Below are 15540 nucleotides of genomic sequence, written 5' to 3'. Positions count from 1 at the left end.
GCCTTCCACGGCACTGGATACACAACCCCACTAAAGCAGGTGTCACAGTTTACTATAATAACTTGTTAACAGGTTTATTTTCTCCAGTGATCCATGTGCTCTTTTTCAACTTTGAATCCCTAGTACCTAGCACTATGTTTGGCTCCTGCCAGGCAGGCAGTCAGCCTTTGCTGAATGAAAGGACCAGTGATTGAGGTCTGTGGCTACACGGTAAAATGAGAGAGACGAGTCATCAAAGGGAAAAACTGCTTTTTTGTTAACTATAAAGTGAACCAAGGTGTCAGAACAGTTAAAACAAGGATGAAGAGTGCTTTTAGATCTCAATCAATTTTTAAATTACTCGTCACACCTGTCCTAGCTAAAGACTAACTCTAGCACCTCCTGCGGCCTGTTAGTCAGTATTTCACACTTGGGCAGCAGATCCAGCAAATGTTCAATGATCGCAGAAGAAATACTTAGAAGCTATTGGCTTTGAAAATAAAAATGTAAGAAGATGCCTAGTAAAAGCATCTGCTAAATATTCTTCCTGTTTGGCACATTAGACTGCAGTATCAGACACATGACCGTGGTCATACTGTACACAATGCCCAATGTCTGCCAAAACTCTGGCATATGAGAGACTTAGTGCTGGAGTACGGAGGGATTCTTCCGGTATCCCCACTACACACAGTGGTGGAAAGAAGAGCTTCCAGAACAAACCCAGTCAGGCAAAGAGGCAAATACACTGCATTTAGTAACGCTGCTGGAGCCCGCCCTTCACCCTTTCTGAAGGTAGGATACTAAAAGGGCTCAAGCCTAAATCTAATCCAACAAGCTATATTCTGAATAACGACCAATCTCTGATAAAGCTGTTCCCCTAACCCTTCTGCTGCCCGAAACACTCACTCTACAGCCCCTACTGGGCTACCGGGTTCCCCACTGGACTCTGGACAGCGCCGCGCCCTGCTCGGCCTCACCCACCCGGTGGCGCTTGGGCCCGCCCTAGTCCCCCACCCCCACCCCAGGGCACCACCTACCAGGGCCCCGCCCCGCCTCAGCCCCACGTGCGGGGCCCCACCCCGGCGCTAGCGGCCCTTTAAACACCCCCACCCTTACACATTACCCCCCCCCCACCCGGACGGCAGCCGAATAGGGACAAAACTCATGGCGTACAGCCAGTTTCCTCCGCGGAGCACGTCCTGTGCTGCTCCAGCCGTTGGGGCTCTCCACCCCGGGCCACAGCCTCCTGGCGCCCCCCGGGCCGAGGCAGCCGGGCCGAGGAGTGTCGGTGTGGTCCGGCTACGGGGCGGGGCCGGCGGGAGCTCCGGTCGCCGCCGCCGCCGCTGCTGCCTCCGCCTGCCTCTTGGGCCGCCCGCTCGCCCGCCGCTGGGTGCGCTGCACGCGGGGGGCAGCCGTGGTGCAGAGGTTCATGCAGCGGCGGCGGCGGCGGCGGCTGCTGCTGCTGCCGCCGCGGAGGCAGACAGACCGGGCGCTGCCACCGCCGCCCTCCCCCGGCTCCATGCCGCCGCCGCTGCCGCCTCCTCCTCTCCGGCGAGGGGCGGGGGGCTCCGGCCCGGGGTGGGCACCATTCCTCGCAGCGCCGCTCCCCTCCCTGCCCTCCGCCCGGGCGCTGGAGCCGGCGAGGGCACCCGCCGCCTCCTAGGAGTGCACCCTCCGCGCGCCCTGCCGGAGCGAGGGGGCGGGCGTGGGCGGACGTCGGGGCAGCGGGGACCCCGCGCGGCTGCAAGAGGAGGGGGCTTCCCCAAGGATGCCCGGCGGCTCCCCGCTCCTAGGTGCGAGCTGAGTCTGACCGGGAGCGAGCGGCGCGTCGCCATGCCGGCGTGACGGGCGCCCCCGGCTGCCCGCGCGGGCCCCCGCGCTGCCCCACGCCGCGCCGTGCCGGCACCGGGCTGCAGGATGGGCTGTATCCAAAGCATCACCTGCAAGGCGCGGATCCGGCGCGAGAACATCGTGGTGTACGATGTGTGCGCCACCATCGACCAGTGCCCCACGCGCATCGAGGAGACCTCGCCCATCGTCCTGCGCTACAAGACCCCCTACTTCAAAGCCTCCGCCCGCGTGGTCATGCCCCCCATCCCCCGCCACGAGACCTGGGTGGTGGGCTGGATTCAGGCGTGCAATCAGATGGAGTTCTTCAACACCTACAGCGACCTGGGCATGTAAGCGACTCGCCGCGCGGCACGGGAGCGGACTCTGGGCCCCCAGCTCTGCTTGCCACCTTGACCCCCCTCCCCAGCTCCTTCCTACTGCTGTCCCCATCGTCTTTCTAAACCTTCCTCCCGCCTCCTCTCCCACCTCCCTCCTCCCTACGCTTTTGTTTCAGTGACAGGGCGGGTGTAGGGAGGCTCCTTGCGAAGGCATTTTCTCGTGGTTTGCTTCTGACTTCCCAGAAACGCGAGGAGAAAGGTGCGGGGCGGGAAGAACGCGACAAGGAGGGTTCGAGAGGCGGAGGTGGGGATGGCTGGCGAGTGCCTGGCGAGTTTCAGGGCGCCGTCTGTGCTTTGTGGGGCTCCCCGGGAAGAGTTTGGGGGAAACCATAGAGGAGTGGAGTGGAGTGCCGGGGGCGCATGGGCTGTGCCGCGCGTCCTTTGGAGAAACCGGAGCGGGCTTGGAAGAGCAGGTCCCGGGCATCCGAGCGGGAGTTGGTAGTTCTGTCCTTGCCCTCGCGACTGTTGAAGTTTCGAACCCTTGTCCCCCGGGCCAGGGAGCCCGGAGGCGTTTCCGTCTGGAACCACAAGCCGGACACAGTTGCCTCTCTGTTTCCGCGCCCCCTGGACCAGTTCTGGTGGGGAGCTGGAAGGCACCGAGTGCGTCCCGGCCAAGAAGGGCGGATAGCCTTGTGCGAGCAGCGTTCGGCTGGCGCGGCGCGGGGTGTTTCTTATGCTAAAGGAAAGGATGGATCTCTTGTCTGTCTAGGGTCCTTACTTTTTAAAACTTTCCTAATTGCGGCACTGGAAGGGATTCCCCTGGCGCCCACCGCCGAATTCTATCGGCGAGCTGGGAGCTCTCCAACTTTCAGCAGCGCCGGTTGGTGCGCGCCGGGCTTGGCTGCTGCGGTGAAGACCAAGGATCGCCGCGGCTCCTCAACCGCCAGGGGCCGCAGGCTACGGGCGGTCGCGTCCGGGACTTTTATATTTACCAAATTTTCATAACTCCGCACCCGCCTCCTTTCAGAACTAGACTCTGAGCAGGTGGCAACGACAATAGCTAAAAGGTTTAGGGCCTGCCTTCTACCTGCTGTTACAATGTAGGTCTAGAACACCCTAATTAGCCAGTCTGCAGCCTACAGGGAAACCCTTTTTCTGGAAATTCAACCTCATTTCACTTATTAATCTAAAACTCTAGAGCTCCCAAGGTTCGTCTATTTAATATGGATATGGGGTGGGGGAGTTCCCATTTTAAAAGGTCAAACCATCTTTTTAGCAGCAGTTTGCAGGCTTTTTATTGCACTCTGAGAGCATGTCAGTTAACACTAGTCATAGGCGCTAAAAGAAATTTGACAGGTCGTTGTTTTCCTTTTTTCCTCCCAAAGATTTTGCACTTTTCTCTTTAAGCACAAAAGCTTAATCCTTGAGAAAACTCAATTCCTAGTGAAGAAATGTGAGGCCCAGTTTCCAATATGCCTCAGCACACTGTATTCTTCCAGAGAAGACAGCTAGATGTGAGAAATGGGGGATATTTTATTTGGGGCGAATCATGCCATTTAAAAACTGACATACCCTCAAAAGAATGATTATATGTGAACACATGTGTCTCTTAAAACTGCTTTTTAAAATAAATCCATTGTTTCCAGCCAAGTCAGAGAAAGCCACAGGCAGGGCAAGAGCCCTTCCTCTCATTTCCCTGGCCTCACCCTGATGGCAGTGGGTTGCTGGAGGACAGCAAGTGCTCCCCACAGCAGCCTGGGGCCCCTGGTAGAGGAAGCCAGGAGTGACTGTGCAGAAGCAGCCTCACTTTTCCCAAGACTGCACAGCGGAACTCTCTGTTGCCTCAAATCTCTTATGAATAAGTAAAAGCAAATATATAAATACAGAATTATTTCCGTAAAACTTACTTTACCTTAGGAGAAGTCAAGTTGAGATATAAACAGACATGGTAGTTGAACTTCCTGGAATCTATAGGGAAGGTATGTCCTCACTGGAACCAACTTTAATGGATATGAATCAGTGACAGGATTCCTGACCCTTCCCCACTGAATCCTTGCATTTGGGATTTGGAAAGTGGTTTTGTTTTTAAACTGCCACTTTTGATATTTTAAGATTCTTGGTTTTCATGTAGATGTAGGAGAGCAAAAATAGACCCCCAATAAATCATAAAGCATATTATTATAGATTTGTGTCCACAGTCTACCTGTTTCTTCATGGTTGCAATAATTGCTATGTGTTAAAGGCCACTTTGGAGCCCAAATTTGAATGAACCAATTTCCACAAGATATTTATGCCTGGAAAATTTTGCTAGTGTAAACTTTTTAATGGGAATTCATATTGCATGAAAGTTGCTGCAGTCTATTAGTTATTATGTCTACTTTAGCCAATATCTGGATTGTAAAAAATAGCATGGAGTGATTTTTCACCTCTGTGCAGTGTTCTGTCACATGAACCACAATATGGTGAAAGGGTTTGGATTAGAAAACTGCCTTTTCAATATTTTGAAAAGGATTGTGCCAGAGGAAATCCACAACATAAAATGGCAAGAAACTCCTGTTTACAGGATTGAAAGAAAGCCTGAGGTTTTGTGGTTTAAATTGTAAACTTTTCCAAGAAGGGGTAGGCTTCTAAAAGAACATTTGAAATAGTTGATGGCTATGATGGCCAGAGCTTAATTTGAACTTGAACTCATTTCCATGGCACTTCCTCGAATGATTCTATAGAAACCAGGCTGGTGAAGAGTTGTGGCACCTATTTATTTCTCATTTGGCCCTGGTGAATCTTGCTAGTGCAGCCTTGAACAGACTGCTGCAAGTCTTCATCCCTCGGGGAGGAAGGGCTCCTGACTCTCTCAATCAACCTGTCAATATACAAACATTTACCAAATGCTTCTGCTGTGCAGGCAGCAGCACCAAAGAAAAAGGAATATGCAGGCAGTTTTCACTGCTTCTCATTATAAGACGACAAATGCAGAGAAAAGCAGCGCTCTTTGGTGGTGTGGAAGAAATGCCTGAGAGCGCTGGCGGGCCAAGCAGGGTGTTCTAGAGGTGAATGGACTCAAGGTGAACTCTGAGGTATGGGTAATATTCAGGTAGGCAAGGAGGAGGGACTAATTCCAAAGGGGAAGACCAGCAAAAATATGGAGGTAGGAAAATAGAAGGTGTTTTAAGGGGGCATAAGTGGGCCAGAGTGGAGTGTTCAAGAAGGAGAACAGTAGGAGATGAGGTTTGAAAGGTAGCTTGGGGTCTGTTGGGTGGGCCCAGAATAACATAGTCTGGAAAAGGAAAAGATTAAAGTCAGATCTTGACCAGACAGAGGATGTCAGGAAGCTCTTCCTATCTTCTTTATACCTCTTGAGTATGCAGAAGCTTTCCAACAGAAGTGGAAGACGTTTATAATGGAACAGTTTTGAATGCTGGAGTACAACGCTGAAGAGGTTTCCTGAGTAAGATTTGAGCAAGGAATGGGGCTCTTGTGCCAGGGTTGAATGAGATGAAGACAAGGTCAGGGAAAACCAGCAATAGCTAAAGCCCCTTCTCATTCTCTTTGAGTCTTCTGGGGCTATAAGGGAACTTTTAATGGTCAGGCTGGGCTGATAGTATGGAAACCATCTCCACTGCCAATTTGGAAAAGTTTGGCCTGTGTGAAACTTTAGGAAGTCATAGCTCAGTCATAGCTTCAAGAGACAGGTCCTGCCTGTCCCTCTACTCCTCCTTCAGAATCAAGATTATTGAGGATTTGGCTGTACCCGCTCACCTCTGTTGCCTGTTCAGTTTAGTCCAAGCTGATCTCTATCCATTCTGAAACTGCTCTTGCTAAGTTCGTCTGTGATTTCCATGTTGCCGAATCCCTCAGACACTTTTGAGAGACTCACCGTTTCAGCAGCATTCCTTGTAGACGGGCTTCTCTGTGTGGAACTGCTCCCATCTTTTAACTTCTATGCTATTTTTCCGCTGTTCCTGTAACTCCATCTTACCTCAAAGTACAGTTAATGGGACTTTTTTCTTCTTGTTCTATGCTTTCCTTGGGTAATTTCATCCATCCTAATGGTGAGAGATAACCTCTATGATACACAGTCACCTCCAGTCCAGATGTGTGTGTGTCTTCGCACAATGATGACATGACACAATGAAAGACATCTCAAGCTTAGGGTATCCAGACCCGAACTCTCGATCCCCACTATAGCTCCCACTCTAAATCTGCACCTTTGCCATTCTTCATCTTAGTAAACAACACCTCCACTCTTTGAGTTGCTCAAGCGAAACCATCTGTATGTCACCCTAGATACTTCCCCACACATCCAGCCCATCATTAAATCCTACTGATCCCATCTCCAGAATATGTGTGTAATCCAGCCACCACTCTCTCTGTCTACTGCTACCATCTCAGGACATGTCACCATTAACTGTCACCTGTTCTTGTAGAGACTTTCTAACTGAACCTGTCACCACCATTCTTGTCCCCCTCCAGTCTGCCTCCCACATAGCAGCCAGAGTGATGTATTAAAAATGTAGATGTTATTAGTTTCTTGCTTAAACCTTTTAATAACTTACCATTGCAATTGGAATAAAATGGGAAAATCTCTTGCATGGGAGGCCGAGGCAGGTGGATCACTTGAGCCCAGGAGTTCAAGACCAGCCTGACCAATATGGTGAAACCCCATCTCTACTAAAAATTCCAAAAAGTAGCTGGGCATGGTGGCACACGCCTGTAAACCCATTTACTCTGGTGGCTGAGGCACGAGAATTGCTTGAGCCTGGGAGGTGGAGGTTGCAGTGAACCAAGATTGCACACTCCAGCCTGGCTGACAGAGCGAGAGTCTGTTTCAAAAAAAAAAAAAGAAAGAAAATCTCTTTCTGTTCTCTGATTTTCTGTTCTTAAGCCTTGTCAGCCTTCTTCCAGTCTTTCAAAAGAACCAACTTTATCCCAACTCAGAACGTTTCCATATGCCGCTCTCCATCTGAAATGTGCTTCCTCCCTGCACTGCTCTAGCTACTTCCTGCCCCTCATTCCGGTCTCAGCCGCTATCTCCTCTGAGAGGCTATCCCTGATCTCACAGTTGAAATTGGGATCCTCCTGTTCTTTTCCTTCAAGATGCGCTGTTCTTATACTGGTTACCATTACTAAGAATATAATTAGTGAGAATATAATTGTTTACTTAATTTCTGACTTGTCCATTACAGTGTAAATTTCATGAAAGCAGATGTCATGTCCATCTTGTTTATGAACAGTGCATGGCCCATAGCAGATGTTCAAGAAACATTTGATACAAAATAAACGAATAAACTATTTTTCTGACCTCAAATAGTCTGTCCTCTTCAACAAATAATGTCTCTTCAAAGTTAGCTTTTCATGTTAAACCTAAGCCTGAACCCACAAAGATCTTGAACCCAAGACACTCCAGCAGTTACTTAGCACTAATATATAGTTTAACTCCGCTGTGCTTTTGCGTTATTTGTCCTGTGTTACCCCACCAGATGGTTTGTTTCTCAGCACAGGGCTTACTTCTGTCACTTCCTCTGTCTCCCTGAGGTGTTCTGTACACTGGGAGTGGTGTTCAGCAAACACCGAAGCCTTGCTCTCGTATCACCTACATGCTGTAAAGTGGCATTCAGTGTGTACCCAAGGAGACCTTGTTGTGGCACTGTTCCACCTGCATCACTAACTCATTAATCCCGGACTTGTGGAGGAGAAGGCTAAAGGCCTTGGCTAGTACAGTTATGTCCCCCAAGCTAGAGCTCCCCTTTTTGTTACCAGTTACATGCTGCTACATGCCCAGTGTGGCTTTAAGTGTGACCTTCATTGGTGACCATAGAGATGGTCACACAGTTGGGCATTTTGCTCTCGAGGACCAGATCAGCCCATCTGTCCAGGGAGCCTGATGAGTCTCCAGGCCACTTGACCAATACCCATTCTCCCCCCGCCATTTCCATTTCATTCCAATCAGGAGGCTCACGGTCTGGAAATAACCAGAACTGCTTCTCAGCAGAAACACTGGGGATGCCAATCTAGAGCATCAGATGGGAAAGCAGGATCCAGTTCCTTTATTAAAGTCCTGAGTGCCCTTGGAAGGGAGATGACCCTTTGCCTTTAATCTCCTCCATCTCTGCAAAAGAGGAGCAGCAGAGGATTAACTGGTCTTATCAGGGAAGCATTAAGCTCACTGGAGATAAAGCACAACTCTGGAGTCAAAGGAGGAGTTGGAGAGATAGGGGAGGAAACAAATGATTAGGGAAAGATGTAGAGGGGGAGAAACAAATGGGAAGTTAACAAATTGTGGCTTGTGTAGCCTGGGATATTAATCTGCATTCCAGGGCACTGGATGGGTTGGGGAAAGCAAGGACAGGAGATGGACTGTGAGGGCATCAGACTGCAAAGTATCAGTGACCTTCCACAGGCAGCAGGGACAAATGCTGTTTTAGGGGCAGGTCTGCAGAGGCATCATGTTCCAGGTTAAGGATGCAGACTGGCAAGTGAAAGGGAAATGCAAAGTCTGGTGTGGGGTGTGCAGTCCCAAATATCCCCTTTCCTTCTAATTCGTACTGCATTCTGATCTCATCTGACCCCCTCATCTGACCCTCTCATCTGATCCCCCTGGTTCTTGGGAACTAGGTACTATTGTCATGCTGATCTTACTGATGAGGAAACTGAGTCTCAGGGGGTTGGGTAACCTGCCTGAGGCCATACATCAAGTAAGTGGCCGAGCTGAGACTGCAAGCCATGTCTTCTGACCCTGTGTCCTGGCTTTCTATATACTGCCACAGTTTGGCCTGTGAGGGGGACAGGTCAGCCCTCCATTCATATCAGCACAAGAAAAGTTAGTAGTTATGGCCGCTGTTACTGTCATCATGCACCTAGCTCTTTTCCTCAAAGCTTCTTGCAAGGAAGCCTAGGGTTGCCCAAAGGCTCCAAGTAGTTGATAGCATGGCTTTCTTCTTACCCAGCTTCCTTCCCTGGACCACTTTGATCTACTGATAAGAAAAAGTTGTCACAGATAACAGAGGGGCCACAACTTCTGTTGTGTTAACACCAAGCAGGCCACAAGAAGTGGCTGTCATTTATAAGTTGGTTATTATGGACTCCTTTGAGAAGATAAATAACAGGAAATTAGCAGTAGCAGAGCATCCTGGTGAATACTTACAAAGAAGCAGAGTCCTCGTGGTGCTGAGGGTCCGTGGAAGGGATTGGTGCCTGCCTGCACACCAGCAGCAGAACTGCCCACAGAGTGGGATATTCCCCCACAGAGGCAGAGTCATCAGGCAAGTTGCCTCTTATTCTCACTAATCCAAATCAGTGTGGTATTTAAGGATGGTTCTAGAGTTGTTGTTGTTGTTTTGGGTTTTAGTGAAGAAGGTGTGAGTGTGCCTGTGCCAGGAGAGTTGTCCAGATCGAGGAACGTCTGGAGATGCTGTTTGGGAAGGAAAAGAAAGAGAAGGGAAATAACACACGTGAAAGGTCTATGTGCCCGGCACTGTGCAGGGTGCTTTCCATGCATGGCCTCATTGAAATCTTACCCAGTGAGGGAAGTTATCCTATTGTGAGGTCCAGGGATGCTCAGTAGCTAGCTCAAGGCCTCATGGCCAGCAAGGAGCCGTGCCAGGAGTCTAGCTCATGTGCTCTGACTACTCTGGTTCTTTTTAAAAATTATTTATTTATTTATCTATCCGTCTATTTGAGATAAGTCTTGCTCTGTTACCCAGGCTGGAGTGCAGTGGCACAATCACAGCTCATTGCAGCCTGGATCCCCTGGGCCCAAGTGATTCTCCCACCTCAGCCTCCCGAGTAGTTGGGACCACAGTCATGTACCACCACACCTGACTAGTATTCTGTTTCTAATAGATGATGGCCTTATCTCCCAGGAAGGGGGTTCTCTGAACTTGCTTTGCAAAATAGTGATAATGGACCTAGCTTTATTGGTTTTCTCTGATTTCTGTATTTCCTCACTCCTTTGGAAACAGAGTAAGTTGCTCTGAGATCATGTGTGTGAACCTCCTTGCATTCCCCTTGAGAATGGCATTGGTGGTTAGCTGTAAGAGCCATATCTTTGTGAGGGGCCAGGAGTAAAGACAGCAGGGAATAAGCTCCTTTCATGCTGAGGAGCACATTCCTTGGGAGCAGGGGGACGACATCCTCAGTTCTCGGGCTGCAAGCTGGTTGGTCTGGGCTGTAGCTTTTAGCCGTGTGCCTACACCTTCAGGCCCTAATGGGCAGCCCTGGGCCCCAGCAGACAGTCACCCAGACTACCCAGGTACTGGATATGGATAGCTATTCATCCCTCAAACTCTCCGGGCAGTTGCTGTTCGGGTGGATGATTAGGAAGAGAAGGAGAACAAGGATTCCCATCTGGTGGTGGAAGGGACCCCTGGCTTTGTCATCAGCTCATTGGACATACCTCTGGCTCCCAAGAATTCCTGCACTGTTCCTTTTCTCGAGGCCCATGTGGACCCTGCTCCCTCATTAGGTTCTGGGGTACATGCCAGTTGGAACTGTTCACTGTGCCAGTGGAAGATTTAGCTGCTGGTTCCCCAGCGCAGGGTTCCAGTCAGAAGATCTGGGTCCCAGTGCCAGCTGCATGACCTTTGGCAGGTCCCTTAATAAGCCAGCATCTAGTTTGCCTGTACATAAATGGACAGTAATAAGATCTCCCCATCCTAATGCCATACGGATTAGGAATCAACACTTGTGATTTTTGTTATTACAGAGCATGCTCGTTATTATTGCTAGAGGATGACTGTGGATCAGCCTTAAGGAACAGGGAGGTTGTGGCTGTGGCCCTGCAACTTCCCTGGACAGAGAAGCATTCAGACTCTGGAGAGGGGTCTCTGGCATGTCAGCTATACAAACCTCCCCTACAAACCCACTCAAAGATAGAGGGGAGGAGAAAGGCTTGCTCTGTACATCTGGAGCCAGGGCTGTTTTCTGTTCAAACTCAGAGGAAGGCATTGGAGCCCCCCCCCCCCCTCCGCCGCCCCCTTGACGTCATGTCACTCAGAAGTCACCCTCCTTGTTCTCCTCTAAGCTGTAGACTTTGGGAAGCCTCCAGGACCCTGGCTGCTCCTAATCCCTAGGCATGATGCCTGCAGCCTAGCCACATCCTTATGGGGACTTCCTGTCCTATCCCTGAGCCCTTCTTTGGTAACAGTATCACTCAGGCTGGGGGAAGGAGCTACAGTTTGTCCAAGCCAAGGACTTGAGGGTGGGGTGATGCTGGAGCATGTGAGCCATGCTGTTCATGCTCAGGAAGGTTGTGCAATTTCCACCTTAGGGGGACAGTGAGACCAACACCTGAAATCATTTGTGTCCAAAGCTATTTTTAAGGTACTTTATTCTTTGCAGGTCCCTTTCATGATTTTTGTTTTCTTTATAAGGGGACCTCTCATAATTAACCTCACAATAATCATGAAACATGTAGGACAACAGTTATTCCTATTTCAGATAAGCAAGCTGAGGCCTAAGGAGATTAAATTATGTGCCCAAGGTCATCCTGGCAAGCACTGGTAGACTCAGGCCTGATGCTCAGGCATCCCACCTCCTCTCCCAGTGCCCTCCATACTGAGTCCATGATCAGCCAACCAAGAATGGGAGTCAGGGATGGGAGAGGTCATCCTCAGAGCCATGTGCATTGGGCACCTCTGGCTCAGACAGCATGTGGACACTTTTAAGGGCATCATTTATGATGTCTGAAGACAAGAGAGGGTAAACAGGACCACCTAAATGTCTTCAACAAGCGCAAAGAGAAATTTTCAGGCTGTCAGATTAAAACAAGATAAATAAGGCCATTTTGTTATTAAAACAAAATAAAGGATGGCACATCAACAGGGTCACTGTGCGAGGCCTGCCTCGCAAAGCCTCTGGCTGGCTCCTGCTCCTGGGGCCTGACCTTTCAGAGCTGGCTGGTGGGCCTGTGTCCGGCACAGGCTCTCAGAGGCTGTTAGAGGCCTGGCTAATGGGAAGCGGTAAATCGGCATCCGCAGTCAGCACTTTCTGCAGCATCCCGAAGGAGCAGGCAGAGGCTTCTGGGGCATGTGTGGCGGCAGGTACAGGCTTTGGCAAGTCCAAGAGCTGCCAGAAACAGGCAAATTAGATGTTGCTTTGCCCTCTGCATGGGGGCTCAGGCTGGGATATGTAGGGGAAGAGAGGCGTGAAGGGAATCAGACATGCCCGTTCTGTGAGAGCAGGATCTTACTTACCTTCTATTCCCTCTCCCGAGACCACACACGCTGAGCCTCCATTCCAAAATGGCAGTCCCCACACCTGAGCTGGGCAAATCAATTCAAGAATAGATTTTTTGTTATCACTTAATGATTTGAGAATCTGTTTCAAGCTTCCACGAACCATCTTCACTTTCTTTAGGAAGGATGAGTGATTTGTGCCACAAACTAACCCCCAACCTCCTGTTGAAGTTATTTTCTTGACGTTCAGAACCAAGGAGCCTGTCTTTTGCTAAGAAACCTGCACACACTGAGTGATGGGCAGCTATGTGCTCGTCTGTCTCCCCGTGAAACCATGAGCAACTTACTCAACTTGATGATGATAACAACTAGTGTGTGCCAGATGCTTTAGATGCACTGTCTGTAAAGTAGGTAGCACCATTATTTTCCTCATATTAGAGATGAAACGGAGGCCTACAGCGGTCGGATAACATGCCCAGCATTACTCAGCTAAGTAGTGCCAGAGCCAGATTTAGAAAGCAGGTCAAACTAATTCCTGTGACTCCTTATGATGTTGTACTGCCTCATAAGGGTTGAATGAATGAATGTCCAAATGAATGAATGATCAGGAAGTATTCAGGATATTGCTTGAGTGTTTGCTTTCGTCCTTGCTGAGGAGACTTGGGAAACAAAAGGTTTAAATCAAATTGGAAATGACTAGTCTCCTTGCCTCCCAGCTGCCTGGTTCACTCAGCTGCTCAGGATGTGATAGTAATGAAACCAGGGTCTTGGGATCAGACCCAGGGGACCATCCCAGCACCAGAGGCAGTCCTCTGTCCTTTCAGCTACCTCACAGGTGACTGTTACCAGCTACCAGTCACAGCAGGGTCTTGATTAAAGAGTAGAGAAATGGCCAGAAGAATGCAAGTGGTAGATCAACAGAATCATTTTTAACTTACAGGGTGTTAGGATGGTGCGGGAAATCATCTAGCTCATTTGCTTCTTTTACAGATGGGGACGCTGAAGCCCAGAAAAGGGCAGTGCCACAACTAGTGAGGGACAGAACCAGGATTCAGACTCAGGTCCATGGGCCTGGATCACTGGCTAATTCTGTGGGTCAGGGCTGGAGGCACCCAGCACACCTAGTCTTCAAAGCAGCAGTCAGTGGTCACCTCCCCCTGTTTTTTCATCACTGCCTGCCCCTGCCCCCCAGCCAGGTTTGCTGAGGGTCCAGGTCTTCAGGCAGAGATGGCCACCTGCCCAGGAAAGGAAAGTGCACAGGGTGCAGGAAGAATCCATCCCTTGGCAGCACAGAGAGGAACTCACATCAGCCCAAGGGATGTCTACACAGTTGCCAGGAGCAGAGAGTCCAGCCTGTTTTCAGTGTCTATATGCAGTGATTAGCAAGCAAGAAAGAAGAGGGTCTCCCCAGAGACACCTGTCACAGATGGCAGGAGATGGGAGGGCTTGGCAGCCCAAGGGAAGGGGAAAGTATGGAGAAATTGAGATTTAGCCGGGATTCCCAACAACCCAGAATCCCTTTCTTCCACCCCTCAATACCCCCCTTACCCTAGCCCTGGTGCTGATGGCATGCATGGCCCTCCTGGCCCCTACCCACACACAGGCAAGGTATCTTCCTAGCCCCTGGCAGCTCTAGAAGAAATAAGATCCAAGTAGCGTCAAAGATGACAGATTGTGAGGGGGCCAGGGGCCCTCCCCTGACAGCAGGGCTCAGCTGGGAGGCCTCTGTGGAGCAGAACAGATGGGAGAAGTCTGAGAGGGATATCCTAGCAGCCTGGAGACCCTGTCTCTGTTGTGGCTTTTAGTTGGTTTCAGTCAATTCTTTTGTCATTGTTTTGTTTTATTGAGGCATTTCAGCATAGGGGCATGATCAAATGGTGCTGTGTCTGCTCACCCTAAAGGAGGTGGGGTTGGGGAAGAATGGGAGGGAACAGGTCTAGGCAACACCCCATTTTGCTTTGCCCTTGTTGGGATCTAAGGGGGGTATAGAGGGAGGACTGCAGAGGGAGACGAGTATATACCTCCGAGCATCCTGCCATCACTGCCTGCCTGGCTTACTCTAAAGCTGTAGTTTCTGTACCACTCCACACTTCCTGTCATGAGGACTCTGGGAATCCAGGGCGATGTCATGTGGTCCACCTCCCCCTTACATAGTCCTGTTGCAGCCTGGCCCTCCTTCTCTAAGCTTGCACTGGGACCAGGCTTCTACCCTCCCTGGAGACCTGCGTAGAGGAGGAGGCATCCTCATGTTTCTTGGGCTATGTGGACCCTTCACTGTTGTCCTGCCTGCCTGGCATGTCCTGTTCCAAGTCCTATAACTCACAGGGCTCCTGCCTGTCTGATCGATTGGCCCTGCTGCCTGATTCTCAGTATTTGTTGCCAGGTTCCTGCCTGCCTTTGAACTACTTGTTCATCTTTGTGTCCATCCCAAGTTCTACCGGCTTGGTTTCTGACCCTCTGCTTGTCTTGGGATAGTCACTCTTTCAAGCTGCAGGGCTTTAGCCAGATGCCCTTCCCCAGACCCCTGGATCCCCCCACTTCTCATTGACTCCCTGACTTGTGCTCCCCCTCTCTCTCTGGAGAGATAAATATGGAAGGAGCCACAGCTGGAAGAGCAAAGCTGTTCTCCACCCTTGGAGCAGAACCATTCACCCTTCTCTTGGGAGCCCATGAGTCACTCTGTCTTCCACGTTGCCTCCAAGCCTGGCTGGGCGTCTACTTTCATCTCATGAGTGGGTTTCCAAAAACCATGGATGATCTTTATAAAGAAAATTACTTGTGATCTAAAGGGGCAACTCAGCTAGAGTTCTGGATGTCTGGTGAGGAAGCTGGGAACAGTTAAAACCAGAGTACCAGCTGGGCGCACTCACGCCTGTAATCCCAGCACTTTGGGAGGCCAAGGCAGGCAGATCATGAGGTCAAGAAATCGAGACCATCCTGGCCAACATGGTGAAACCTCGTCTGTACTAAAAATACAAAAATTAGCTGGGTGTGGTGGCGTGCACCTGTAGTTCCAGCTACTTGGGAGGCTGAGGCAGGAGAATCTCTTGAACCCAGGAGGTGGAGGTTGCAGTGAGCAGAGATCACGCCACTGCACTCCAGCCTGGTGACAGAGCGAGATTCCATCAATAAATAAATAAATAAATAAATAAATAAATAAATAAATAAATCCAGAGTACCAAGAACTTCCCCTGAGCATGTGGGGTTTGGAATCCAGGGAG

The 15540-nt window shown here is 50.2% G+C and overlaps 1 protein-coding gene, 1 long non-coding RNA gene and 1 other non-coding gene across 6 annotated transcripts in view, besides 5 other annotated features; 2 read left to right on the top strand and 1 right to left on the bottom strand.

Moving 5' to 3' along the window:
• LOC112268276 (uncharacterized) overlaps positions 1 to 2268 on the bottom strand; it is a 175024-nt gene extending 172756 nt beyond the window's left edge. Inside the window, exon 1 of the long non-coding RNA XR_002958633.2 lies at positions 2091 to 2268. This is a non-coding gene — a long non-coding RNA (uncharacterized LOC112268276). The remainder of the gene's footprint in view (positions 1 to 2090) is intronic.
• Positions 904 to 1393: a silencer, noted in NCBI's record as "silent region_1508". NCBI's record gives its function as "represses an Ori minimal core promoter by ATAC-STARR-seq in GM12878 lymphoblastoid cells {active_cell/tissue: GM12878}" and the evidence as "EXISTENCE:reporter gene assay evidence [ECO:0000049][PMID:35858748]".
• Positions 1144 to 15540, top strand: part of FAM78B (family with sequence similarity 78 member B) — a 111084-nt gene continuing 96687 nt past the window's right edge. For 3 of the 4 annotated variants that reach the window (NR_135199.2, NM_001320302.2, NM_001017961.5), the window contains exon 1: positions 1144 to 2159. Coding sequence is in view for 2 of the 4 variants with exons in the window: in NM_001320302.2 (NP_001307231.1) it covers positions 1897 to 2159 (263 nt within the window). In the remaining 2 variants the exon portion in view is untranslated. The remainder of the gene's footprint in view (positions 2160 to 15540) is intronic. The other variant, NR_163271.1, reaches the window with a different exon arrangement.
• Positions 1375 to 2277: an enhancer, noted in NCBI's record as "H3K4me1 hESC enhancer chr1:166135105-166136007 (GRCh37/hg19 assembly coordinates)". NCBI's record gives its function as "activates a minimal SCP1, AML or CMV promoter by ChIP-STARR-seq in primed H9 embryonic stem cells {active_cell/tissue: H9 hESC(primed)}" and the evidence as "EXISTENCE:reporter gene assay evidence [ECO:0000049][PMID:30033119]".
• Positions 1434 to 1493: a silencer, noted in NCBI's record as "silent region_1507". NCBI's record gives its function as "represses an Ori minimal core promoter by ATAC-STARR-seq in GM12878 lymphoblastoid cells {active_cell/tissue: GM12878}" and the evidence as "EXISTENCE:reporter gene assay evidence [ECO:0000049][PMID:35858748]".
• Positions 1884 to 1933: an enhancer, noted in NCBI's record as "active region_2024". NCBI's record gives its function as "activates an Ori minimal core promoter by ATAC-STARR-seq in GM12878 lymphoblastoid cells {active_cell/tissue: GM12878}" and the evidence as "EXISTENCE:reporter gene assay evidence [ECO:0000049][PMID:35858748]".
• Positions 2034 to 2203: an enhancer, noted in NCBI's record as "active region_2023". NCBI's record gives its function as "activates an Ori minimal core promoter by ATAC-STARR-seq in GM12878 lymphoblastoid cells {active_cell/tissue: GM12878}" and the evidence as "EXISTENCE:reporter gene assay evidence [ECO:0000049][PMID:35858748]".
• On the top strand, positions 13347 to 13402 carry MIR921 (microRNA 921). Its single transcript, NR_030626.1, has one exon. It is a non-coding gene; the product is annotated as a microRNA 921 (primary transcript).

This window comes from Homo sapiens, chromosome 1 (genome assembly GCF_000001405.40).
Source record: "Homo sapiens chromosome 1, GRCh38.p14 Primary Assembly".
Classification (NCBI taxonomy): Eukaryota; Metazoa; Chordata; class Mammalia; order Primates; family Hominidae; genus Homo; species Homo sapiens.
Note: the sequence above shows the minus strand (reverse complement) of the source record. Positions and strands in the feature narration are given on the sequence as shown.